This window comes from Homo sapiens, chromosome 3 (genome assembly GCF_000001405.40).
Source record: "Homo sapiens chromosome 3, GRCh38.p14 Primary Assembly".
Taxonomy (NCBI): Eukaryota; Metazoa; Chordata; class Mammalia; order Primates; family Hominidae; genus Homo; species Homo sapiens.
Window position 1 is genome coordinate 119,803,840 of NC_000003.12, and position 25,161 is coordinate 119,829,000.

Below are 25,161 nucleotides of genomic sequence, written 5' to 3' on the forward strand. Positions count from 1 at the left end.
CTCTGCCTCCCAGGTTCAAGCGATTCTCATGCCTCAGCCTCCCAAGTAGCTGGGATTACAGGCACGCGCCACCACACTCAGCTAATTTTTGTATTTTTGGTAGAGATGGGGTTTCTCCACGTTGGCCAGGCTAGTCCTGAATTCCTGGCCTCAAGTGATCCACCCATCTCAGCCTCCCAAAGTGCTGGGATTACAGGCGTGAGCCACCACATCCAGTCCCACAGTGTCTTTTAATATATTTACATTTAATGGCCAGGCACGGTGGCTCACGCCTGTAATCCCAGCACTTTGGGAGGCCAAGGTGGGCAGATAACGAGGTCAGGAGATCGAGACCATCCTGGCCAACATGGTGAAACCCTGTCTCTACTAAAAAAAATACAAAAAAATTAGCCAGGCGTGGTGGCAGGCACCTGTAGTCCCAGCTACTCGGGAGGCTGAGGCAGGAGAATGGCGTCAACCTGGGAGGTGGAGCTTGCAGTGAGCCAAGATCATGCCACTGCACTCCAGCCTGGGTGACAGAGCGAGACTCCGTCTCAAAAAATATATATATACATATATATTTACATTTAATATATTTACATTTAACTACCAACATAGTTGGTATTTTTTTTTTTTTTTTTTTGAGACGAAGTTTTGTTCTTATCGTCCAGGCTGGAGTGCAGTGGCGCGATTTCGGCTCACTGCAGCCTCCGCCTCCTGGGTTTGAGCGATTCTCCTGGCTCAGTCTCTCAAGTAGCTGGGATTATAGGCACCCGCCACCACTTCCGGCTAACTTTTTGTATCTTTAGTAGAGGTGAGGTTTTACCATGTTGGCCAGGCTGGTCTCTAACTCCTAACCTCAGGTGATCTGCCTGCCTCTGCCTCCCAAAGTGCTGGGATTACAGGTATGAGCCACCGCACCCAGCCCCATATTTGGTATTTCTACCATACATCTGTGTTTTCTATTCGTCTCACCCTTTCAGTTTCTTAACTCTCTAATTGCCTTCTTTTGAACTTTTTTCCTTCCATTTTTTCCTTTCTATTAGCTTCCAAGTTATGCATTCTATTTTTGGACTTTTAATGATAACCCTAGACATTTCAACAAGCACACTTTACTAATCAAAATCTAAGATTTACCATCTTTTTTTCCCTTCAACAATACAGAACCTTAGTTACTGCATCCATCCATATTTTAGTTGTATTTTGTTTTTCCTAACTCCCAAGATATTATTATTATTGGTTTATGAAGTCATTGTTTATTCCGATTTTTACAGTAAATTTTTATTCATTTTCAAATCTGCTTGGTCAATTTTATGGTCGTTTATTCTTTGTTTATGTCTTCAACCTCTCGTACTGTTTATTTAAACATTTCTGTGTTTGATAACTCAGGGCATTTTCTCATGTCTAATTCTAGAAGTTTTTTTGGTTTGTTTTGTTTTGTTTTGTTTTGCTGACTCTTGCTCATCATGCTGTGCCAGTCTTTTCATTCATGACTTCTGAGTATTTGCTCATATTTCTTTGAAATTATATGTGATTATTTGTGCCTAGGTATAAAGTGGAAAGTGAGTTCCCCCAAAAAGGAGGATTTCTGGCCAGACGCGGTGGCTCACGCCTGTAATCCCAGCACTTTGGGAGGCTGAGGCGGAGGCTGAGGCGGGCAGATCACTTGAGGTCAGCAGTTTGAGAACAGCCTGACCAACATGGTGAAACCCCATCTCTACTGAAAATACAAAAATTAGCTGGGCATGGTCGTGGGTGCCTGTAGTCCCAGCTACTCAAGAGGCAGAGGCAGGAGAATCGCTTGAGCCCGGGAGGCAGAGGTTGCAGTGAACTTAGATGGAGCCACTGCGCTCCAGCCTGGGTGACAGAGCAAGACTTGGTCCCCCCCTCCCCCCCACCAAAAAAAAAAGAAAAGAAAAGAAAAAAAAGGAGGATTTCTGTTGGGTGTCTGGGAGAATTACCAACCCAAATGCACTTTAAATCTTAAATCAACTTTTTGGCTTGAGGTTTTTGTGAACACCTAAAGTATACATTTTGTCTGCAAGCCTACATAAAGTCAGGATTATGATTTGAAAAATCAGGGATTTTCCCCTGTGCCTGTTCAGTTCAGGTTTCCAGTCAATGTATTTTATTCACAGTGTAATGGAGGGCCAGGGTCAGAGACAGATTAATTCCTTATTTACTCTTACAGGTGAAACTGTCAGATGTCACCTGTCATGATGTTGGAAACAGAAATTTATGTGTTAGAATTTTACTAAAGTTTCGATTTTGGCATTAGAAAAAGCATCGTCATCTGTGGTGGTGTCTGCCCTTGTCAGTCAGTGCCTAGAGAGAATTTTGGGGATGGTAGTAACAGGACAATCCCCCATTTCTACTGAACATCCTCAGTGTCTGTTCCAAGTAGAATTCAAGTTATGCTCTCAAGGTGGAAGTTGCCTGGGGAGGACATCCTTGAGTACAGCTCAATTTTTTTTCTTTCTTTTAGAGATGAGGTCTCACTTTATCACCCAGGCTAGAGTGCTCTGGCATGATTCTAGCTCACTGCAGCCTCAAACCCTCAGGCTCAAGAGATCCTCCCCGCTCAGCTTCCCAAGTAGCTGGGACTATAGGCTCACACCATCGATCTTGGCTGTTTTTTTTTATTTTTTGTAAAGATGAGATCTCACTTTGTTGCCCAGGCTGGTCTCAGATTCCTGGGCTCAAGCGATCCTCTTGCCTCAGCCTCCCAAAGCCCCGGGATTACAGGCATCAGCCACCATGCTTAGCTACAGCTCTATTAATAGGCACAAGTTCTTCAATATTCACTGAGACCCCAGCTCTGCTGGGACCACAGGCCATTTTTCTTCCCATGTTGTGATCTTGCCCACCATGCCTCCACTTTTTCCCCATCTGCCTGGCTACTTAGTTGAAAACTCTTTCTGCTCAGCCTTTCTAGCTCCCTGTGGGAGCTTGGGCCACACCCCACCTGAAAGACTATCCTCCCTCAATGTCCCCAGTCCCAGAAATCATCTTGAACAAGTAATCTGTCCATGAGCTGCTCCCCATTCAGACCTCTGGCCAGGTTGTGGCCTCCTAACCTCAGTCCACTCAGCTGTGGCCTCCATGATCCGACCCAGACAGCCTGCTCTCTTTTCTTCTCATTTCTTCCTCCCTCTTACCCTTATCTTTCCCATGCTCCTGTTCACATGTTCTACTCCAGGGCTCTATTTTTGTGTACAAAATGTCATGATTACAGCTCTCTTTATAACAATTCCAACCCCCATTCCCCGCTTTTTTTCCCCATGAGAGGTCAGCTCCCGAGTTCACAGGCCCAAATGTGAGTGATGCATAGAAGGGACAGAGTGTTTCCTCTGAGGCCTCTACACATCCCTGTCCAGTCTTTTCATTCTCTGTGGTTTTCTCATTTCTAGTCCAAGAGGCCCAGAAGCAAACCTGGAGGTGAGACCCAAAGAAAGCTGGAACCATGCTGACTTTGTACACTGTGAGGACACAGAGTCTGTTCCTGGAAAGCCCAGTGTCAACGCAGATGAGGAAGTCGGAGGTCCCCAAATCTGCCGTGTATGTGGGGACAAGGCCACTGGCTATCACTTCAATGTCATGACATGTGAAGGATGCAAGGGCTTTTTCAGGTAGAGTTACCCATCAGCCTTCACCCACGTGCCACCACTGACCCACTGGGTAACGTCTCAGGGCCTCAGCTTGACCTGTCCCCCAGGTTCAGAGTGTGGGCTGGTGGCCCACCCAAAGGCCTTGTAATTAGTCTCAAGGGAGCCATTTATATCCCAGAGGAATCCTTCATCTTCAGTCTTCCTGTTCTACCCAGGAAAGGTCTCCTTCCATTAAGATATCCCTTGGTTTCTCCATGTGCTCTTGAATAAAATGGAAAATGACTCAGTGAAAGATAAGGAATTTGAAAATCCCAAATCCAAGTGTTCACATCCGCCTTCTGGGGTGGTTGTTACATAAAGAATGGCATAAAATAAATGCTTAGACCATGGGAAGAGAAACAGACCGAAGGGAGGGGAAGGGCGGGGAGGGGAGAAAGCCATGTGTGAGGAAGCACTCCAGGTGCACCCTCCGGAGGGCACAGGGTATGCAAGGAGCAGCTCCCATCTCGGGAGCCACATGTGGGACCCTCATGCATTCCCAAGACAGCCAGCCTGACAGCCCTTTGCAGAGTTCTTCGTGGTGGCTGGGCATTCAAATGGAAAAGGGCAGGTTCCAGGGAGAAATGAACATTCGTGTTGCATGAGTTATAACAGGGGTGAGACACATCAGCAGTGTCAGACTGGGTTCAGCTACAAGTCACAGGACACTTGTCGCCAATTGGTTTGGCAATAAGGAAAATGTGTTACCTCTCCTAACAGGAAGTCTGAAGGCCTCCAGGTTAGTGAGTTCAGCAGCTCATTTCTTTCCATTTTTCTCTTCAGCCATCCCACCTGAGAGCTCTGATTGCAGTCTGGCTCCCCTTGTGGGGGCACAGTGCTGGGGCCCCAGGCAGGAATCATTATGTTCAGCAGAAGCGCACAAAGGCCCATCTTTGAGAGTAAGGAAATCTTTCCCAGGAGTCCCCTCACATTGGCTAGAGCCGGGCCCAGCCTATGCCTGAACTAGTCACTAGCAAAGAGCAGCAGGTATGTCCCTGAGCTGGGCACACGCCACTTGACTGTGTGGAAGAGGGTGGATGTCTGCACCAGCTCCAGATGCTGCTGGCACAGAAGAGGCTGCCCAAGCAGTGTTCGTGCATCCTGCCTCAGCATGCAGGAATCTTCTGCTCTCCCTTCCTCATTTGGGTACTATTCCTGGGACTCTCAGAAAAAGGCAACATGTTGTAGTGGGCAAAAGCTAAATCCAGTATCAGGCAGACCTGGATTCAAATTTCAGCTTGTCATGTACCTGGAGGACAGCTGGGGATCCATCGTCTCCAAGCCTCAGTCTCCCTCATCTGTGCTAGGCAGATGAGATTATGAGTTTCACAGGGTTTTAGAACTAAATTTACAAAACTGCAAAATACCTAGCCTAGCATCTGATACATAGCATACCTTTAAATAATGTGAGCCCCGGTTTCATCTTTTACCCATTCTCAGTGGACTTTGATGTAGCATCAGAGTTTTCTTACCCAGGCCAGTTGGGAAGGCAAAAGGCAGGGATGGCATCTGTGAAGAACATGCCCCTGGGCTGGTCACTGGTCCGAGGCCCGAGGCCTCCAAGCTCAAACCTGCCAGGTCACTGCGGGCTTGGCTCAGCTTCCCAGGCCTGCCCTCGGGGACCTCTGCAGCCCTACCTGGCTGTTCCATGCTCCTGGGCCAGCCTTCCCTCAGTTTCCACTCTGGACCAGAATCAGAGGCCAGAGCCAAGGGAGAGATTGTTTCTTTCCATCCAGCTGTGGAGATGGGGAAAGTAAAGGTAGGACTGCACTGACCGTGTCTTTTGTGGGACAGGCAGGACTTCCGGGCTGGGAGGAGGAGATCTTGTACCAGAGTCTCCAAAAGGCATCTGCCCCATTGCCTCTCTGCGCACCGCAGAGAGGGGTGTGCGGGCCCGTGGGTCCCGCCTGCACGCTCTGCTGTTCCAGGCGCTCGACCTCTTTGCCCCCTAGGTCAACGAGGGGAATCCACTCTGCCATGGGGAAGTCGCTGCCCCGTAGGGTATAAGAACTTCCCCATAGTTCACCCCTTCCTCCCTGGCCGCCCAGTCTGGAAGGGGAGCTGGAGAAGGCGGCGGGGGGTGGGGGGAAGGCGGGGGGGAAGGCGGGGGGGTGGGGCGGGCTTCTCTGGTTTCTTACCCTCCTGGGGTCAGGTTTCCTCAGCTCCCTCCCTTAAGGAGGGGAAATCGAGGAAGAGGCCCATCTCCATGGAAACTTTCTGGTAACAAGGCTGTGAAAGAGAAGGGGACAGGTGTTTCAGGAAGAAGGGAAGGCGCTGAGGATGGGCCTGGAGAGGAAGTGTCCCTGAAAGTGGTTTTGGGGCTGCCCGCGCCAGCGAAAAGCACGTGTCCCATTTCCTGCCGGAATGGCCAGAAAAGGTCTCCTCCCCGGCTCTGCCCCCTCTAGCTGAGTCCTGGACCTCTAGGGACTCCCACCTACACCCTTCCCATAAAGCCTGACCCAGCTGGGACGCAAAGGCTAGTGTCCCCCTCCCCGAGTCGGTAGGGGCTGGGGAGGGAGGTGGTATGGCCCGGAGCCCCAGGCCGAGGGCCCGGGCACCCGTGCATCCCCCCTTCTGCTCCCCATTCTCTCACAGGAGGGCCATGAAACGCAACGCCCGGCTGAGGTGCCCCTTCCGGAAGGGCGCCTGCGAGATCACCCGGAAGACCCGGCGACAGTGCCAGGCCTGCCGCCTGCGCAAGTGCCTGGAGAGCGGCATGAAGAAGGAGAGTGAGCAGTGGGCGCGCGGGCGGGCCGGCGCCGGGGTGCACGGCTCTGAGTAAGGACGTGCCGTGGGTGTGGGCATGCTTGTGTGGAGATGCGCGCCGAGTGTGCGCGTGAACACACGTGCACATGTGAGCTGGTGTCCGTGTGCAACAGGCAGCCACCTGGGGGAGCGCTTGCAGTCGGCCCTCTGGGAGATGGAGGGAGTCGGTAATCTCTGCCCTGGGATGTGTGCTGGGCAGCCCTGGACAGGGCGTGCCCTCTGTCTCCCCTCAGTTGCTCCTGCATCATTCTTTTTGTCCCCTTCATAATTGTTGTAATGGTTTGAAACCACATTTGCGGGTAGGAGTGTGAATCTGGGGGAGGGAAGCAGGAGCCACATGGGTGATAGGACCCGGGGCCTTCTAGGTGCTAGCCCCATCAGCTGCCCCAGACCTGGATCTTTATAGGGGAACTGTTTGCAGACAGGTGACATGAGGTGTTCTCATTCTACCTATTTAACTTTGATATATTTGTGCTCCTAGGTCACTATGAGATTAAGGCTCATGCGGAAAAGGCTAGGTGTTTCTAGTGCATATTTGTCTCCATGGAACACAAAGGGACCCAAAGCTGCTTCTTTCAAGGACAAGTTCTCTAGGCTGCTGGCAGGCATTCTTGATCTCTCCCCACCAAGGACCTCATAGCTTTGTTCTACACACATGAGTGGGCTCCAGAAATCCACAGAAGACCCTAAGGCTCTGGGCTATATAAGAAGTCTCTGGAGTTGCTATTTCTTGCTAAGCTGTAGCCCAGCTCTCTAGGGTCTTGGAGACCCAGACACCTCTGAAGAGTCTTGGTATATAATTCACCAGAAAATGATAATTGTAGATGCCATTTACTGAACATCTCTTATGTACCAGGAACTATATTAGGCACCCTACATGCAAGGTCTCATTTAACAGCGGTGCGAGGTAAACACGGTTTCTCCGGATCACAAAGGAGAAACCTGGAGGCAGGAGAGGTTAAGGAGGTTGCTTGGGGTCACAGGTAGTAAGTGGCAAAGCTTTCATGCAAACCCAGCGCCTTTGGATTCTGAAGCCCGTGCTCTTGCCAGGGCCCCACAGTGTCCTCACAAACTCCACTGCAGAGGGCAAAACACCAGCCTCACCTCATCTCTGTCCTCACCCAAGTGTTTCTCCAGAAGAGCCCACAGGCCTCTTGAGTCCAGACAGGGGAGAATTGCTTGTCACCATTACTTTCTCTTTTGCCTAACGGCTTCTGCTGCCTTGAGAGGGTTACACAGTGGCTCTCCAGGGGGCTGGAGGCTCACCAGGGGCACGTGTGCCTGAGCCAGCCTCACTGTCCCTGCAGTGATCATGTCCGACGAGGCCGTGGAGGAGAGGCGGGCCTTGATCAAGCGGAAGAAAAGTGAACGGACAGGGACTCAGCCACTGGGAGTGCAGGGGCTGACAGAGGAGCAGCGGATGATGATCAGGGAGCTGATGGACGCTCAGATGAAAACCTTTGACACTACCTTCTCCCATTTCAAGAATTTCCGGGTAGGAGGAACTGCACAGTGACCCGAGGTGTCACTGCCATCTTCATTCTCACATAGAAACTGAGGTTCCCCAAGGATAAGAAACTTATACAAGGTCACAGCTAATCAGTGGTGGAGGGTAGATTTGGAGAGCTGGTCCTGCATCTGTGCTAGCTCCTCAAAGCCTTAGTCTCATTCCCAAAGGTTCTGAAAGTGTGGTCCCTGGGTCAGCAGCATCAGCATGCAGATTTTCAGGTCACCTCAGATCTCCTGAATCTGAAGCTCCAGGGAGGGGCAGGACCCCCCGGTGATTCTGTTGCAGGTTCAGGTTTGAAAAATCACTGCTCTCTCCTTTAAGGCAGGTAGGAACTGGGTCTAAGCAATAAGTGGAGGGAAAGCTAGGCAGTTCCCCAGTGTTGCTGGCATTCGGGGCTTTATGAGGACAGGATCAGGACCTGTTGGGGGTGTGACTTTTGTGAACTGGTGTTTCTTGATCCCAGCACATTAACTATGTCTGTGCTCTAAGTGCCCTCCTTCCCCTTTGCACTGATAGATATCTCAAGTGGCCCTTCACAGCCCAAATAACTGGATTAGCCCAGTGACCTCAGATCTGCTCTTCCCATCCATAGCACCCTAAACCTTCTGAGTCTCCTGAGCCCAACATCTGGAATGCTTGGGATGACACACCATGGTTGCAGTCCCCCTTACCCTCCATTTTAACCAAGCAGGGATGTGTGTGACCATTAATTCATAGATCCCCAAAGCACCTTCATCTGATAGAGAACACCAGAGAGAAGAAACAAATGCTGTGTGTGTATATGTGTGAGGACACACGCATGCATGTGGGTGTGAATGCCTGCATTTGTGCATCCTCTCGAGCTGCAACTGTGGCTGTGCATGTTTGGCTGGGGCCTGAGTTGGGACCTGTCTATGAAAGCACATGCTGTCTCTCCTCTGTCCACCTCCTGGCATGTGTCCTAGCTGCCAGGGGTGCTTAGCAGTGGCTGCGAGTTGCCAGAGTCTCTGCAGGCCCCATCGAGGGAAGAAGCTGCCAAGTGGAGCCAGGTCCGGAAAGATCTGTGCTCTTTGAAGGTCTCTCTGCAGCTGCGGGGGGAGGATGGCAGTGTCTGGAACTACAAACCCCCAGCCGACAGTGGCGGGAAAGAGATCTTCTCCCTGCTGCCCCACATGGCTGACATGTCAACCTACATGTTCAAAGGCATCATCAGCTTTGCCAAAGTCATCTCCTACTTCAGGTAGGACATGGAGACTGGGTGGTTGGGTGTGGAAAAGAACTGGAAGTGGCCAGGAGGTTCAAAGGGCCTGGGGTAGATCCTGAATTTGGGGGATATTGGTGTCAGAAGACCCTCCTTTTCCTGTGCCCTTTCCCCGGGCAGCCAGTGCTGCTGGGGAGTAGAGCCCTTGCTGTATGGCTGGTTAGTTTTGTGGCTGTGGGCCTGCCAGTGTCTCTGCCTCTTCACCTGCTCAATGGAAGCTAAAAATGCCTCCCCTGCAGGGCTGTTCTGTGAAATAAGAACACATCCGAAGAACACCCAGCACAGAGTGGGCATTCAGATAGTCTTTTGTACTCTCCCTTAAAGGGGCAGGAATCACATGTTGACAGTTCCAGAGCAAGGAATGAGAGGAATAGAAAAGATAAGGCTGTGAAGGCCATGGGGAGGGCGGGTGGTCCTCAGAGCCCAAGGGTCAGGTCTCCCCAGAGCTAGATGTGGAGGCAACAACCATCGGGCAACTGGGGTTAGTGGGAGACATGGGAACTTCCTGGGGTGGCAGGAACCACAGCCCCAGAATATGTGTGCAGTCGTAGGATTAGGGATGGTGCCAGGTGTATCTGTCCTTGGGTAGGCCACCTTGCCTTGCCAAGCCTGGTCAAGTGGGGCTGAAACACACCTGCCACAAGCTCCTGGTTTCTTCAGCAGGTTGAGGGTAGGTTATACTCTAGGAGCCCAGAGGTTCTTCTCTGGCCCTGTAGGAGTCATGCGTGACTTATTTAATGGGGTGATGCTGACAGCAGGTTTGGAATGGGGTTCAGATGGTAGCAAATAAGCTTAAAGGGGCAGGGAGAGAAGAATACTTATAAATGTGGACATTGGGAGATCTTTGGTGAAATCCAGTGACTGACAATTTAACACCAGGGCTTCCCACTTGCTATTTCTCAAGGCCACCAATGTCGAGCACAGTGACCTGAGGTGTCACTGCCATCTTCATTCTCAGATAGAAACTGAAGTTCCCCAAGGATAAGAAACTTGTACAAGGTCACAGCTAATCAGTGGTGGAGGCTAGATTTGGAAGTACCAAAGCCAGCTCGATGCCAGGTCCTAAGCTGGGCAATGGGGAGGCACAGAAGAATAAGATCAATTACATGGCATTTGTAGCTCAGTGTTAGGGATCTAAAAGAAGGATGGGCGCCAGTAGCACAGGGTCTGAATTCCCAAGGCCAAGAGGTAGTGTTTCCTCAAAACCCAGAGTAAGCAGCCTCCCTCTCAGGCTGTGAAGCTTCCTCCTTGTAAGGAATGCCTCCTTACTGGGGAGGTGGGGGCCCCTCCCAGGTTGGGAGGGAGTGATCCCTGCAGGACCGGAAGGGTATCCATGTAACCATAATCTCAGAGGCTTGTTAAGCCGCCTCCATGGTTAGGCCTGTGCTTCAGCGCTAGGAGTGGGGCTTCAGGCATCTGGGCTGCAGGGAAACAGTAGAAATACATGTGTGCACATTAAACCCAACACCGACAGCAGGAAGCAAACATCCCCACTACTGGAACTCAGGCCAAAAGGGCGGCACTTTCACTCTGGAAAGGGGAGACTGCACTCTGGAAAGACTTCTGAGAGGGGCAAAGACATAGCATGGCCTGAGGGGCTAGCAGGATATACTAAAGGGGAAGTCATTCCAAGGGGGAAACTGAGGCAGAAAGGAGGAGGCCAGGGACCAGAAGCCAAAGCACTAGCTGTAGGTCAGGATTTGTATAGGAGCTGAAGGAGATGGGGCCAGCCTGTAAGGGACCTGGATGCCAAGCTCAGTGGGTGGAGTTCCCGGAGGTTGGAGGGGAGGAGAGGATGCTGCGGGGCAGAGCTGTCTGCTGGGTTGTGAGGGGAGAGATGAGAGGCAGCCAGACAGCAGCCACAGTCATCCTCAGGGAAAGGAGCCATCCTCCCTCTTCCTCTCGCCCCCAACTTCTGGATTATGGGATGGCTGCTGGTGCCGGTCTGTGGGCTGCCTCCCAGGGAGCTGTCCTCCCCTCCCCATCCTTGCTGCCAGGGACTTGCCCATCGAGGACCAGATCTCCCTGCTGAAGGGGGCCGCTTTCGAGCTGTGTCAACTGAGATTCAACACAGTGTTCAACGCGGAGACTGGAACCTGGGAGTGTGGCCGGCTGTCCTACTGCTTGGAAGACACTGCAGGTGCCCGAGAGAGCCTGCCTGCCCTGGCAGAGGGAGGGAAACACTGCAGTTATGGGAGGAAGGGAGCTACGCCAGGATATGCAGGTTCTGGGATGGCAGGGCAGGAAGATGGAATGGTGGAAAACAAGATATTGGTGAGGGATGATTAGATCTTGGTCAGCTTGCTGAGAAGCTGCCCCTCCATCCTGTTACCATCCACAGGTGGCTTCCAGCAACTTCTACTGGAGCCCATGCTGAAATTCCACTACATGCTGAAGAAGCTGCAGCTGCATGAGGAGGAGTATGTGCTGATGCAGGCCATCTCCCTCTTCTCCCCAGGTGAGGATCTCCCCTAGGCTGCCTGACATCCCCCCCAGCCTTATCTGCCCTCCCCAGGGAAGGTCCCAGTCTATGGCCTTGCTCCTCATTCACTGCGCAGCCAGGATGGGGGCTCTCGCTGGTTTCTCCTGGGGTCAGTGGGTGATGCCCAGCCCTGGTCTTCCTTCACTTCCCTGCCTGGGTGACTCCAGCTCTGGAGGGTGGTTGGCGAGCAATGCCCTGACTCTGGGCTGGACTGAGCTTGTCTTTGCCCCATGATCTTGCACCACACCTCCCTCCCCTCCAGACCGCCCAGGTGTGCTGCAGCACCGCGTGGTGGACCAGCTGCAGGAGCAATTCGCCATTACTCTGAAGTCCTACATTGAATGCAATCGGCCCCAGCCTGCTCATAGGTGAGCACAGCAGGGGGTGAGGACCCGTGAGGGTGATGTGAGGGAGCCGAGGTTCAGGGAAATTGCCCAAGACTTCATGGCCAGAGGGTGGCATCTGGAGGTAGCCCCAGCCAGACCAGGTCCAAAGCTCACACTTTTGAGCACTACCTAACCACTTCCCAGGAAAAACACAAGCAAACAGGGGGACGTGGCCCAGAAAGGGGCTTCTATACCTTCACTGGTCCTCAGTAGCTCCTGTGACCTACTGCCCAGACTGATGCCCACAGACCCAGAGACAAACTTGGATTTTACGGAGCCCAAGGCCATGAAGGGTTAAGGCCAACACTGAGTATTATAGTGTGAACCTATAAACTGAAATCCTTATTTGGCCTGCACAGCTTTCTTTTTGGCTTGGTGTCCTGGGATGCTGGGAGTGGCCATGTCTTTATTTGCTCAACCCTTCCTTGTATGGAGGCAGGAGGCTGGAAGTGCCAACTTTCTTTTCCATCATGGGGATACTGAGGCATATGGTACATCTCAGACACTAGATCCAAAGCTAGTTCCAGGAAGGGATTCCAGCCTGCAGCCCCTAACCTCCACAACGACTCTGCTCAGTCCTGGCCCCTGGACATTAACGAAGGCAGTGACAGCCCCACACCCCCAAACTGGTAGCTGCAATATCTACATTTTCCCACGGAAGTCTCTGTGTACAAAGATGCAACTCCCGCAGCTGGGTGTCGTGGCTCACACCTATAATCCCAGCACTTTGAGAGGTCAAGACAGGAGGATCCCTTGGGGCCAGGAGTTCAAAACCAGCCTAGGCAACATAGCCAGACCCCAACTCTAGAAAAATTTTAAAAAATTAGCCAGGTATGGTGGCATGTGCTCTAGTCCTAGCTACCCAGGAGGCTGAGGCTGGAGGTCTCTTGAGTCCAGGAGTTTGACACTGCAGTGAGTCCATGATCGTGCCATCATGCTCTAGCCTGGGTGACAGAACGAGATCCTGTCCCTTTAAAGAAAAAAAAAAAAAAAAGACACAGCTCCCATGAATGGGATGGGAGTGGGGAGAGTATTGGGCAGGCTGTTCTGCCTTTCTCATCTACAGGGTAAAAGAGAAGCTTACGGAATTCAGCCAAGCCTTGTCTCTTGGCTGACCTGAAATGTCCAGAGATTATGCTTGTGCAGCCTCAGAGCAGCCCTGAGGCTTGTGGGTCAGGGCGGGCTGCACCCACAATCTTTTCTCTGGCTGGCATGCAGGTTCTTGTTCCTGAAGATCATGGCTATGCTCACCGAGCTCCGCAGCATCAATGCTCAGCACACCCAGCGGCTGCTGCGCATCCAGGACATACACCCCTTTGCTACGCCCCTCATGCAGGAGTTGTTCGGCATCACAGGTAGCTGAGCGGCTGCCCTTGGGTGACACCTCCGAGAGGCAGCCAGACCCAGAGCCCTCTGAGCCGCCACTCCCGGGCCAAGACAGATGGACACTGCCAAGAGCCGACAATGCCCTGCTGGCCTGTCTCCCTAGGGAATTCCTGCTATGACAGCTGGCTAGCATTCCTCAGGAAGGACATGGGTGCCCCCCACCCCCAGTTCAGTCTGTAGGGAGTGAAGCCACAGACTCTTACGTGGAGAGTGCACTGACCTGTAGGTCAGGACCATCAGAGAGGCAAGGTTGCCCTTTCCTTTTAAAAGGCCCTGTGGTCTGGGGAGAAATCCCTCAGATCCCACTAAAGTGTCAAGGTGTGGAAGGGACCAAGCGACCAAGGATGGGCCATCTGGGGTCTATGCCCACATACCCACGTTTGTTCGCTTCCTGAGTCTTTTCATTGCTACCTCTAATAGTCCTGTCTCCCACTTCCCACTCGTTCCCCTCCTCTTCCGAGCTGCTTTGTGGGCTCCAGGCCTGTACTCATCGGCAGGCGCATGAGTATCTGTGGGAGTCCTCTAGAGAGATGAGAAGCCAGGAGGCCTGCACCAAATGTCAGAAGCTTGGCATGACCTCATTCCGGCCACATCATTCTGTGTCTCTGCATCCATTTGAACACATTATTAAGCACCGATAATAGGTAGCCTGCTGTGGGGTATACAGCATTGACTCAGATATAGATCCTGAGCTCACAGAGTTTATAGTTAAAAAAACAAACAGAAACACAAACGATTTGGATCAAAAGGAGAAATGATAAGTGACAAAAGCAGCACAAGGAATTTCCCTGTGTGGATGCTGAGCTGTGATGGCGGGCACTGGGTACCCAAGTGAAGGTTCCCAAGGACATGAGTCTGTAGGAGCAAGGGCACAAACTGCAGCTGTGAGTGCGTGTGTGTGATTTGGTGTAGGTAGGTCTGTTTGCCACTTGATGGGGCCTGGGTTTGTTCCTGGGGCTGGAATGCTGGGTATGCTCTGTGACAAGGCTACGCTGACAATCAGTTAAACACACCGGAGAAGAACCATTTACATGCACCTTATATTTCTGTGTACACATCTATTCTCAAAGCTAAAGGGTATGAAAGTGCCTGCCTTGTTTATAGCCACTTGTGAGTAAAAATTTTTTTGCATTTTCACAAATTATACTTTATATAAGGCATTCCACACCTAAGAACTAGTTTTGGGAAATGTAGCCCTGGGTTTAATGTCAAATCAAGGCAAAAGGAATTAAATAATGTACTTTTGGCTAGAGGGGTAAACTTTTTTGGCTTTTTTCTGGGGAAAATAATGTGGGGGTGTGGAAATAGAAACATACGCAAGCATACATATTTTTACTACTTATTTTATTATTATCCTGTATAAATCTGAAGACTCCGGCGTAAGAACATAAAAATGAATTATTTAACTTGGCTTACTTATAAAATGATTGTTCTGTATAAAAGTTTAACATATGTGCATACCATAATTAAAATGTAGTCCGGGCGAGGTGGCTCAGGCCTGTAATCCCAGCACTTTGGGAGGCCAAGGCTGGCGGATCACAAGGTCAGAAGATCGAGACCATCCTGGCTAACACAGTGAAACCCCGTCTCTACTAAAAATACAAAAAATTAGCCAGGTGTGGTGCTGGGCACGTGTAGTCTCAGCTACTTGGGAGGCCGTGGCGGGAGAATCACTTGAACCAGGCAGGCGGAGGTTGCAGTGAGCTGAGATCGTGCCACTGCACTCCAGCCTGGGGGAAAGAGCGAGACTCTGTCTCAAAAAAAAAAAAAAGTAGGAATTAATTTTAAATGTCTAATATTTCATTCAAATGAAACTTCACAGTAACTGAATTTTAAAGAACAGATAATTACTTAGCTTTTGACATTTTACAAGAAGCAGGCCAAACTTTGAGAACATGGTAAATCATCAGTAATATAAATCAAAGCAAGTAAACATATTCTGTCATCCCTCTGACTTTACCAGATTTTTCTGCATTAAGGAGATATAGGGAGCACTTATTTTTAGAAAAGATACTGAGGGAAAAAAAGAGCTTCTCTTTCCAAACTCAATGAATGCAGCTTTTGCTCCCAGGAATTTTAATTATGAATCCATTTATAATTAGAAATACAAATTTCTAATTTGGAAAGATAGATTTCACTCCAGTGTATTCATAAATCATATGCATCTCCCTTTCCTTACTGAAATGATTCGAGTGCTATTTGTTCAAGAGCCTGAAACTGTTGTAAGCTGTAGGACAGGGTAAGGTGAGGTTAAGATGGAATGGAGGGCAAATTTCCATCTCCCAGTCTTGATTTAAAAACTCCAGGGTAGTTCTCCAAACATTGAATTGATATGTACATATAATTTATATAGATTATAAAAACTAAATGTATTTCAAGAGTGAAGAAAGATTCAATGTTAGATGCCCTGAAGAGTTCACATAGGGTACTTCCTTTCAGTAGGTCTGTGGATCACAAGTTTATGGGACTAGAAGCCAGATTTTAACCTTCCTACTCCAACATTTGAGTTTCTTCTTTACTCCCTTCCCTGAACTTTTGAGTAAACAGAACTAAGCATCAGTTTTTAGGCATCCTTGTGACCACTTTTTTTTTTTTTTTTTTTTTCTGGGTCAGTGAGGAGAGGATGGAGTCAGTCTCCAAAGCTCAGGGCAAAAGACCTAAGCAAGCTACTGCTACCATCTGCCCCCTCATTAGTCAGGGCCACTCAACAGCCTCTCTCTACCTAGCCCAGAACTTTGTCTAATTAAGTCTTGACATTGATGACAAATCTGTGGGAAGGGCCAGAGTGGCCACTCCCTTCTGGAGAAAGAGGATGTAAGGAGAAACATACGTATGATTATCCATGGCTTCCCAGCTCCTGACTCCTAACTTGTGGGCCTCATTATGCCATCTTCCACGGCAGCTTGTTTTTTCCTGGTAGGTTTCCCTTTATGTCCTTCAGCTCTCCTAAATCTGATGGTGGTGATGAGTGAAATATTCCTACACTTGAGAAATGTGTGACCATCCCAACACTTCTGTTTACTTCCTTTCACAAACTTCTCAATGACAGGGATCTAAAAGCTAATCTCTCCTTTCCTCACTACCTTCCTAGAACACGTTTCTAAATGACATCTACCGGCTGGGCACGGTGGCTCATGCCTGTTATCCCAGCACTTTGGGAGGCTGAGACAGGCGGATCACTTGAGGTCAGGAGTTCAAGACCAGCCTGGCCAAAAAAGTGAAACCCTGTCTCTACTAAAAATGCAAAAATTATCCGGGCGTGGTGTAGTCTCAGCTACTAAGGAGGCCGAGGCAGGAGAATCACTTGAACCCGAGAGGCGGAGGTTGCAGTGAGTCGAGGTTGCGCCACTGCACTCCAGCCTAGGCGACAGAGAAAGACTCTGTCTCAAAACAAAACAAAAAAAAACGAAATGACATCTACCATCACTGCTCTCCTGAAATATGATCCCGAAGGACTGTTTGGTCAGTACTTTTTGGAAAGACTTAGAAACTAAAAAGGCAGGGGCCGGGCGCGGAGGCTCACGCCTGTAATCCCAGCACTTTGGGAGGCTGAGGTGGGCGGATCACGAGGTCAGGAGATCGAGACCATTCTGGCTAACACGGTGAAACCCCGTCTCTACTAAAAATACAAAAAATTAGCCGGGCGTGGTGGCGGGCGCCTGTAGTCCCATCTACTCGGGAGGCTGAGGCAGGAGATGGCGTGAACCCGGGAGGCGGAGCTTGCAGTGAGCGGAGATCGCGCCACTGCACTCCAGCCTGGGCAATAGAGCGAGACTCCGTCTCAAAAAAAAAAAAAAAAAAGAAAAGAAACTAAAAAGGCAGTCTTTCAGGATTCTAAATTAAAAGGTCTTGCAGGACACTAACACAATATTTAACTCAATCCCAGAACCTATGCAAGACAGCAGCAAATCCCAAACAAATGCACTTCAGTGCCAGCAGGAGGCGCATCGCACAAGTAACTTCTGTTTCTGCTAATCCAATCCTCCCCTGCCGCCCCTACTGGTTAAATGTGTTTAACTGTTTTACCAATGTTGGAATTAGCCAACCCCACCACCACAGTAAATAAATAAGAGGACCACACTTTATCGAATATAAATTTGTTTTTATTGAAGCAGCAGTCACATGACCTTATATCTAGCCTTTAGATTAGGCCTGACAGAGTGAGCCAGCCCTAAAAAAATGATGTTTCTTTTTGCACTAAGAGACATAACATGTTTACATACATCATCCAGTATTGGAAATGAGCAGACTCAAACACAACATGTGTTGGTTACCTGGGAGGTACAGCCCCACTGTTCGTGGTGTCCATATATTTTACAGAGACCCCCAAAGACCATTACTAATAGGATGAAAGTTAAAAGAAAATACAGCCACACCAAATCATGAACACAGTAATCAAAGACAGCAGCTTATACACATTTAAAAACTGTCCCTTTCAGAGTTGTTTTCTTTCTTTTCTAAGCAGTGTCTGCAAAGCTTCCTCTACATCAAATCCAAAGGTTTCCAAGGTGGAAGCTGCACCTCTTGGGGCTACACAATGGAATAAAATCATTGGAAAGAACAAGAAGTGGTATTGATATCTTGTTCTGTATAACAAAGATTAATGTTTCCCTAATTAGAGGAATGGAAATGGTGATGTGACTACATATTGCAGCGGCAAAATAGTAGGGTGAAGGAAGAGGGTTGGGTACTGAAATAAAGACCACACACTTGTGAATTTTAATTTCATTTCCAGGCTAACCTACTTTTTATTTAATGCAAATTACAGTACCAGTTAACTATTTCCAAACCAAGTCACATAGAACAAAATGTATTTACAAGGGAATGGGGAAAGGGAAAAAAAACATTGAGCATACTTTTCACAAAAAAGTTTATATTTAAAATGAAAAAAAAATCAGTCACAGAGGCATTCAAGTAGTAATAATGTTATACAGATTTTGCTTTTCCTTTATATCAAGACAGATTTGCACAAGTGTTTGCAATAGTTTGTATACAACCCACAGTCCTTTATATATATATATATATATATATAATAAATTTTGTTTTTTAGGTTTGTTTTTAAGATGGAAGTGGTCACGCTAATTGGTATGTGTACAGGCCCAAGTGATCCATCGGCAACACATTTATAAATGCAAATTTTACAGGCAAGCAGATTTTCATACAACTATCTGTATCTGCCTGTAGACAGATATAGTTAAGGAAAAAAAAACTTAAAAATTAACACAAGGAAGTCTACTTTGTCAAGCTAACCCCTTATGTACTGGTTGTCATTTTGCTTTTATTGCAGAGGTGCAAAACGGAGCAACAAACTTGAATAAAACGGCATAACCCTTGTGAAAATAATCCAAACCCCAGGGATTACTTTCAAAGCCTCTCAAAGGTAGATCTCAGTCTGGGACTCTACTGTGCTTCTAGTTGTCTCTTTTATTTTCAGTGGCTCAGGTTTCTACCAGAAAAGACAGATTTTATTGTAAAGCATACCTACTTTTCCACACAGGGGAGAAAAGTGTTTGGCTCTGTGATTAGATGATCACTAACATGAACAGTAGGAATCAGATACAATTTCAGTTGAAAAGAAAGAAAACCCCCCAAATTCCTGGGGATCTGGCATTGGCCAAACTTCCTTTGGAAGATTCCAAAGTTAAATCCTTTAAAAAGGAAAGGGAAAAATAGATGAAATGCCAGTGTCTTCATATCCACAGGGATAGAGAATACTCCTCTCAGAAACCTTTGCATTGGTGCAGACAAGATGACTGGTTAGGCATACATTGTTAAAACATAAACCAAAAATGTGTCTAAAAATTAAGAGGACTTAAAAAAAATGACACAGCATGTCACTGGAAAGAAGGTGCAGTCTTCTGCCTTGCTGGAATGAACACACGATGTTTCAAAAATAGTAACCTTTGGTTTGGTAGTTTTTTCTTCTATTCAAGACATTTTATATGGACTACTTTGAGGCAAAACATTCTATTTTTCTTTCAAAAAAGGCCTTCGTGTTGGGCACACAGTAAGAATTAAACTGATTTTTTTTAAAAGAAATTAAAATGATATTTCATTGAGCAAGGGTAGAGATGGCGGGAGGGAGGAAATGGGCTAAGAGTTCCCTTGTTAAAACAACAGTCCTCTATTGGCACGGTGGCACTCCGTGCAGTAACTGCTAGTAATTGCACTATAGCATTTTAGACCACTGACGTATCAAAACCTGATACTATTAAGAAACTTCGATTTATAAAAAAACAATTCTCTGTCACTCTCTCATTTGGGAGGGAAGTAGATAAAAGAGGAGAGAGAGAGAGCATGGAAGGCTCCCAGAATCTGCTGTTTTTAAGACCCATGGTTAGGGCTTGTGGAAGAGACGAGCAAAATTTAATCTATTCGATATCCTCCAGCTCTAGGGCTCCCTGGTGCTACACTAAGTCCCTGAATGGACTAAGTATGAAATGAAACCGGTCTCACTGCTACCGAGGAGGAAAGACATTCAGAACCAAAACAAAGGCAGGGCTTCAACGAAATGAAATTACGAATATGATTTCCTCTTCCCACTCCTGAGTATGGTATCACTGAAACTTAACTGTGGAAGGGGCAAAGATACTGTTATGAGTGAGTTATTATTTCAAAGGGAAAGGGGGTGGACAGGGAGACATGGATAAAGGAAACCAATTAAAATTTAAAAAAGAACAAATTAAAAAAAAAAACACATGGAAGCGAAGGCACTCCAAACTATATAGATACACTATACATTGCTAGAGTTATTGTTACAATAATACAGGCCGGTACCTACTGTACAGAGTTAAAACTATATGGCTTTAAAAAGCTCGTCTACATTTTGTCTGATTATTAAACAGAATCACTGCCCTGAACAGTAACTTTTTGCTCATTAATAACAGTTCCTGGGTCCACATATTTACATACAAAACAATAAAACTTAAATTTAAAAACACAGAAAGAAAATATAATGTACAAGCTTGAATTTGGTGAGGAGCTTTTTATTATTATTATATACAAAAAGATATTCAGAGACCTGGATCTCACTTGTATAAAAGAGTTCTGTGATCCCACCATGATCCTTGAGAAAGAAAAATCACACATCTCAGCACACACACACACACACACACACGCACACATGCACACACAATGAAATGAGAGAAAAGCGTGACTTTTCTCTCTTCTTTTACCCCAGTTGTGGGGGGCAACCTGTTTCCTAAAATAAGCACTGATTTTTATGGACTCTGGGGAGTATACCACGTCCAGAGCAGTGTCTGCATCCAAACGCTTGCTGGGCAGTTGGATCTGAATGCAGGTCCATTTCTCTATCACAGACCTGCCTTTTCAGATTCTTTATAAATTCTGTCTGAAAATGGTCTATCAACGCCACTACCTTTAAGGAGTTATGCTGCCAAATACTTTGATTTCAGACTTCTTTCAAATCTTAGCTTTCAGAAGCACTTTATAAAACATAAAATTCAATTTGTTTGATTTGGTTTGACTGAGCATGTTTCCTTTCTCATAAACTCTGATATATCCAGAGGTTTGTGAAACCCCTTTTGTGGCCCAAGACCTCAGCTAAACAGCGAGTGAAAACCAAGATGGCTCACAGTTGTCTTTCTGGGTACTGGTTCACTTCAGCAGGCAGGACAACTCTCTTGGAGAGTCACACACACAGTTAAGGAGCAGGACAGGGTGCTAGGGCCTGCAGGAGGGCTGCCAACAGACTCCACTTCCGAACCCTCTGGAGGACGAGACCCATAAAGTGACCTAAGGTGGCAATGAGGAGGGTGAGGGCAAGTTACACACAACCATGGGCTCAGCTCTGCAGCCCTACAGTTACCAGCTAACCTTGGAAGGCATGTGGGGAAGGAGCGGGTAGGAGGGAAAGGCGGCCATCACTCAAGTGATCTTTAAATGTAAAGTACAACTGATTGTGCCTTAAAGATTCATAGGTCAAGTAATGGCCCATAAGCACCAAGGTGACTAAAGTTCATTTTAGAGTATATAAGGCCCACATAGATGCCAACCTTAAAAGTATAAAACAAACTAGTCATGAAAATCTATTTCCTCACGGCAAACATAGTCCTTCAATTCTCCTTGCTTTCCAAGGAATATTGCTTTTTCTTCAAAAAGAGAGACTGATTCTTAACATCGTTCACTGATACACAAAGAAAACAGACACAAAAACTCTTAACTGGGTGTGGGGGAAACATTCTTCTCATGCTTCAACCAGTCAATTTTGATACTGTAGACAAAAAAAAAGGCAGTATTGAATATATGTATATATAACATATATACACACATTTATATCATCAGCTTTCCTATAAAGTCAGCAGGTATAAGTGACTGTATCATTCTGATGTGTAGTTTTTAATATTTCTACCATCTGACATGCATCAATAAATAAATGTAAAAAGCATGAGGTTAAAAAACAAATTAAATACAGATTCTAGATTTGGATTTAAAATTAGAACTATGTGTAGAATGTGGCTATTTCTGCAAGCTCAATTTTCAATTAAAAAATATGAAAAATAAACCAGTAGATGACTGTTACAGTTCACATTATTTAACTACAATGTCCTCTCAAGTGTATCTTTCCAAGGGAAGTAACTTTAGAAAAAAATCTGGACAAACTTATTCACAGTGGTGAGATGTATCCCTGACCTGTCCCCTTCCTCTGGGCTCATCAGCCTTTGACCTCAGCAGCTAGCTCAGCCTGCTCAACACCCCTTCCATCTCCTCCCAGGTCACTAGTTTGAAACTGTGCTAAGATTTGCAAAGAACTTTGGTCAGGCAAACAAAGAGCCACCTGTAGAGCATGTGTGCCTGAGTCTTGCTTGCTGCTTCCCCTCTGGCAGCCTCCTGTACAAGCCTCTACATCACTAGCACTAACTGAGAGCAAAACAAAACCTTAACAAATCTACTAAGAATCTTCCCTGTAGAGTTCCAAACTTTATTGACCTCCCTGGGTTACGAATGATACACATTTCTTTGTCTGCCACACCTGCCACCAACATGCCAAAGGCAAGTCTATAAATACCCGAAGATATGGATTAATTTTACAAGTGACATTTAAGTCCCCGTTGAGTTATACCTGCTAAGCTCCCAACCAATTTCAAGCTGTGCACTATACCAAAGTCTCACACTAGACTTTAAAAGAAAACAAAGTTCAAAAAAACCCATCAGCACAGAAAAAGGTTTTCTTCTTTTGTGGAAGGGGCATGAGGCAGGAGTCCTGTTTTTAAAGTATACAACAGCAGACTTTTAATAAAAAAAGATTGTCGTGGGAGAGAGATTGTATGTTCTAGTGCTCCGCTTTCCCCCTCCCCACAACCCCTCCCACCCCCTGGATCTCCCTCAAAGTGAGAATACAATGAAATTGGTTTGTATTTATAGATATTTTACAAGGTTAAATAAGAACAACAATAATAATAAAAAAATTGAACACTAAAATGAACAGGATTTTTTTCTCTTTTTAATATTCTTTCCAAACGTGACCAGTGTTGCTGAGTGACACTCAAGTAACTGGTGGTTTTTCCTGTGCAGCTGGCTGCTCGGGACTGTTCAGGTGGAGTTGGAAGCTGATGCAGAAGCAGCATTATTGGTCTGTCCACGGTCTCCAGTATTAGCATCTGCAAGTCAAAAAGTCCCAAGAGAGAGCATGAGCAATGCTATAACAACAAAAGAGAACAAGTACACTGTTTCAACTGCAGGCTGTGAACTGTATGGCCTTCCAAGCTGTTATTTGGAACGTTGTTTTAAATAAGGCCAACACTATGAAATCTGAATTTCTCTATTCTTGGATTTAAGTTCATGCCTCAGCATGGTCCTGGTACCGGGAAGACAGTGTCTTTGAATAAGTTGCAGACTCAGGGAGCCAGAGACCATTTCAGTCAAAGCTCTTGCTACAGCTGGGATCAGCTGTATATGAACACTCAGCTGGAGTCTAGTTCACTTGAAAATAAATGAACAGTGCACAGCTGGGAAAACTTGCTAAAAATTTGAACCATGTTACAATATGCCATCTGCTTAAGTAAGTAAATAGGTGGAGGCAATGAAAGTAACGTGGGTCAGTGTTGATGGGCAGAACAGACCCTCTTCATTATTCATAGAGATGGAAGACAGACAACCAGCAAAAAAGAAACAGCAACTGCAGTACCAATTCACTTAGTCAATTTAATAAAGCATCTTGTATCAACAGATGAATGGATAAAAGAAAATGTGGTATATATACACAATGGGGTAATATGTAGCCATAAGAGAGAAAGATGGGAGGCTAAGTGGGAGGACTGCTTGAGCCAGAGAGGTTGAGGCTGCAAGTGAGCCAAGACCACCTGGGAGACACAGTAAGATACCGTCTTTAAAAAAAAAAAAAAAAAAAAAAAAGAGAGAGAGAGAGAAGAAAGAAAAGAGAAAAGAAAAAGAAAAAGAATGAGATCCTGCCATTTGCAACAACATGGATGGAACTGAAGTCATTATGTGAAGTGAAATAAGCCAGACAGAGAAAGACAAACTTTGCATGTTCTCACTTATTTGTAGGAGCTAAAATTTAAAACAACTGAACTCACGGAGTTAGAGAGAAGGATTGTTACCAGAGGTTGGGAAGGGTAGCGGGGGTGGGGGAAGTGGGGATGGTTAATGGGTACAAAAAAAAAAATGTATAAGACCTAGTATTTGCTAGCAAAACAGGGTGACTACAGTACAAAAATAATTTAATTGTACATTTTAAAATAACAAAGTATGACTGGATTGTTTGTAACATAAAGGATAAATGCTTGAGGTGATGAATATCCCATTTACCCTGATATGATTATTACACATTCCATGTCTATATCAAAATATCTCAGGTAACCCATAAATATATACACCTACTATGTCCCCACAAAAATTAAAAATTAAGAAAAGGAAAGCATCTTGTAGTCAAATCTTGACGTAGAACTTACTTAGAGCTTACTTTGCCCTAATCTTTTAGAAATACGTACAACTCTACAACTAACCATTATCTCCTCCCCCCTTTTAAGGTCTATTATTATTTCACAGCATCCATTAACATTTAAGTGGGCATCTAACTGTGTCCAAATTGGTTTAGTAGACTGCTGTTTTAGTGGCTATCAAGTTGCATCCTTGTCATCTCTCTTAATGACAGAGAAGGTACTGCTGGCCAAATTTTCTCCCAAAGATTTCACACTAAGCCCTGAGCAAGAGAGGTAGCTTGACTGGGATGGGCAACTTTGAAAAGCCATCTCTCTAGAAGCCACAATGCCATCAAGGTTGGTGACACCGAAAGGCAGACTCAGAAGTTTTTTTCTCTCTAGGACTGAAGGGATTTGTAGATCTACCATGTGCTATGGTGAGTAGAATAACCAATGTCATGGTTGAATGCAACGTTTGGTCCTGGATCTTTCTACTTTGAATTTCTGAATTAGAGGGAGACACAGAATATCCAAGGACACATAGGGAACTCTATGATGGATTAGCTGTTCAGTTTATCATTTCTAAAGCCAATCTATAAAAATTATACTTCCTAATTTCCCGATAAGCTGCCCTTATATACATTTAGCACAGCCTTTGGGGAAGGAATGTGAATATCTCTTAATGTGAATGATTAGGTTTAATTCATTTAATTTCCTTCAAAATAGCTAAAGCTGCTTCTAATCTTGTTGTCATGTACACAAGTGAAGATATTATGGCATCAGAATCCACACATTAGGTTCATATAGCCCATGTAATGGGGTCATATTAATTCATCAGTATGGCAAATGAACAGGTGGCAGGAA

The 25,161-nt window shown here is 46.6% G+C and overlaps 2 protein-coding genes across 7 annotated transcripts in view, besides 5 other annotated features; one reads left to right on the plus strand and one right to left on the minus strand.

The window, feature by feature from the left end:
• The window catches only part of NR1I2 (nuclear receptor subfamily 1 group I member 2), a 36,387-nt gene extending 21,739 nt beyond the window's left edge, over positions 1 to 14,648 (plus strand). For 2 of the 3 annotated variants that reach the window (NM_003889.4, NM_022002.3), the window contains exons 2-9: positions 3,390 to 3,608; positions 6,222 to 6,355; positions 7,700 to 7,887; positions 8,847 to 9,121; positions 11,140 to 11,282; positions 11,484 to 11,600; positions 11,887 to 11,992; positions 13,229 to 14,648. In NM_003889.4, coding sequence (NP_003880.3) covers positions 3,412 to 3,608; positions 6,222 to 6,355; positions 7,700 to 7,887; positions 8,847 to 9,121; positions 11,140 to 11,282; positions 11,484 to 11,600; positions 11,887 to 11,992; positions 13,229 to 13,373 — 1,305 coding nt within the window. In that variant the 5' untranslated portion in view covers positions 3,390 to 3,411 and the 3' untranslated portion in view covers positions 13,374 to 14,648. The remainder of the gene's footprint in view (positions 1 to 3,389; positions 3,609 to 6,221; positions 6,356 to 7,699; positions 7,888 to 8,846; positions 9,122 to 11,139; positions 11,283 to 11,483; positions 11,601 to 11,886; positions 11,993 to 13,228) is intronic. The other variant, NM_033013.3, reaches the window with a different exon arrangement.
• Positions 5,857 to 6,360: an enhancer, noted in NCBI's record as "H3K4me1 hESC enhancer chr3:119528543-119529046 (GRCh37/hg19 assembly coordinates)". NCBI's record gives its function as "activates a minimal SCP1, AML or CMV promoter by ChIP-STARR-seq in naive H9 embryonic stem cells {active_cell/tissue: H9 hESC(naive)}" and the evidence as "EXISTENCE:reporter gene assay evidence [ECO:0000049][PMID:30033119]".
• Positions 5,857 to 6,397: a biological region, named in NCBI's record as "H3K4me1 hESC enhancer GRCh37_chr3:119528543-119529046".
• Positions 5,868 to 6,127: a silencer, noted in NCBI's record as "silent region_14633". NCBI's record gives its function as "represses an Ori minimal core promoter by ATAC-STARR-seq in GM12878 lymphoblastoid cells {active_cell/tissue: GM12878}" and the evidence as "EXISTENCE:reporter gene assay evidence [ECO:0000049][PMID:35858748]".
• Positions 6,338 to 6,397: an enhancer, noted in NCBI's record as "active region_20326". NCBI's record gives its function as "activates an Ori minimal core promoter by ATAC-STARR-seq in GM12878 lymphoblastoid cells {active_cell/tissue: GM12878}" and the evidence as "EXISTENCE:reporter gene assay evidence [ECO:0000049][PMID:35858748]".
• Positions 11,825 to 12,325: an enhancer, noted in NCBI's record as "H3K4me1 hESC enhancer chr3:119534511-119535011 (GRCh37/hg19 assembly coordinates)". NCBI's record gives its function as "activates a minimal SCP1, AML or CMV promoter by ChIP-STARR-seq in naive H9 embryonic stem cells {active_cell/tissue: H9 hESC(naive)}" and the evidence as "EXISTENCE:reporter gene assay evidence [ECO:0000049][PMID:30033119]".
• Positions 17,482 to 25,161, minus strand: part of GSK3B (glycogen synthase kinase 3 beta) — a 273,127-nt gene continuing 265,447 nt past the window's right edge. For all 4 annotated transcript variants that reach the window (NM_001354596.2, NM_001146156.2, XM_006713610.4 and 1 more), the window contains one exon: positions 17,482 to 23,016. In NM_001354596.2, the coding sequence (NP_001341525.1) occupies positions 22,949 to 23,016 (68 nt within the window). In that variant the 3' untranslated portion in view covers positions 17,482 to 22,948. The remainder of the gene's footprint in view (positions 23,017 to 25,161) is intronic.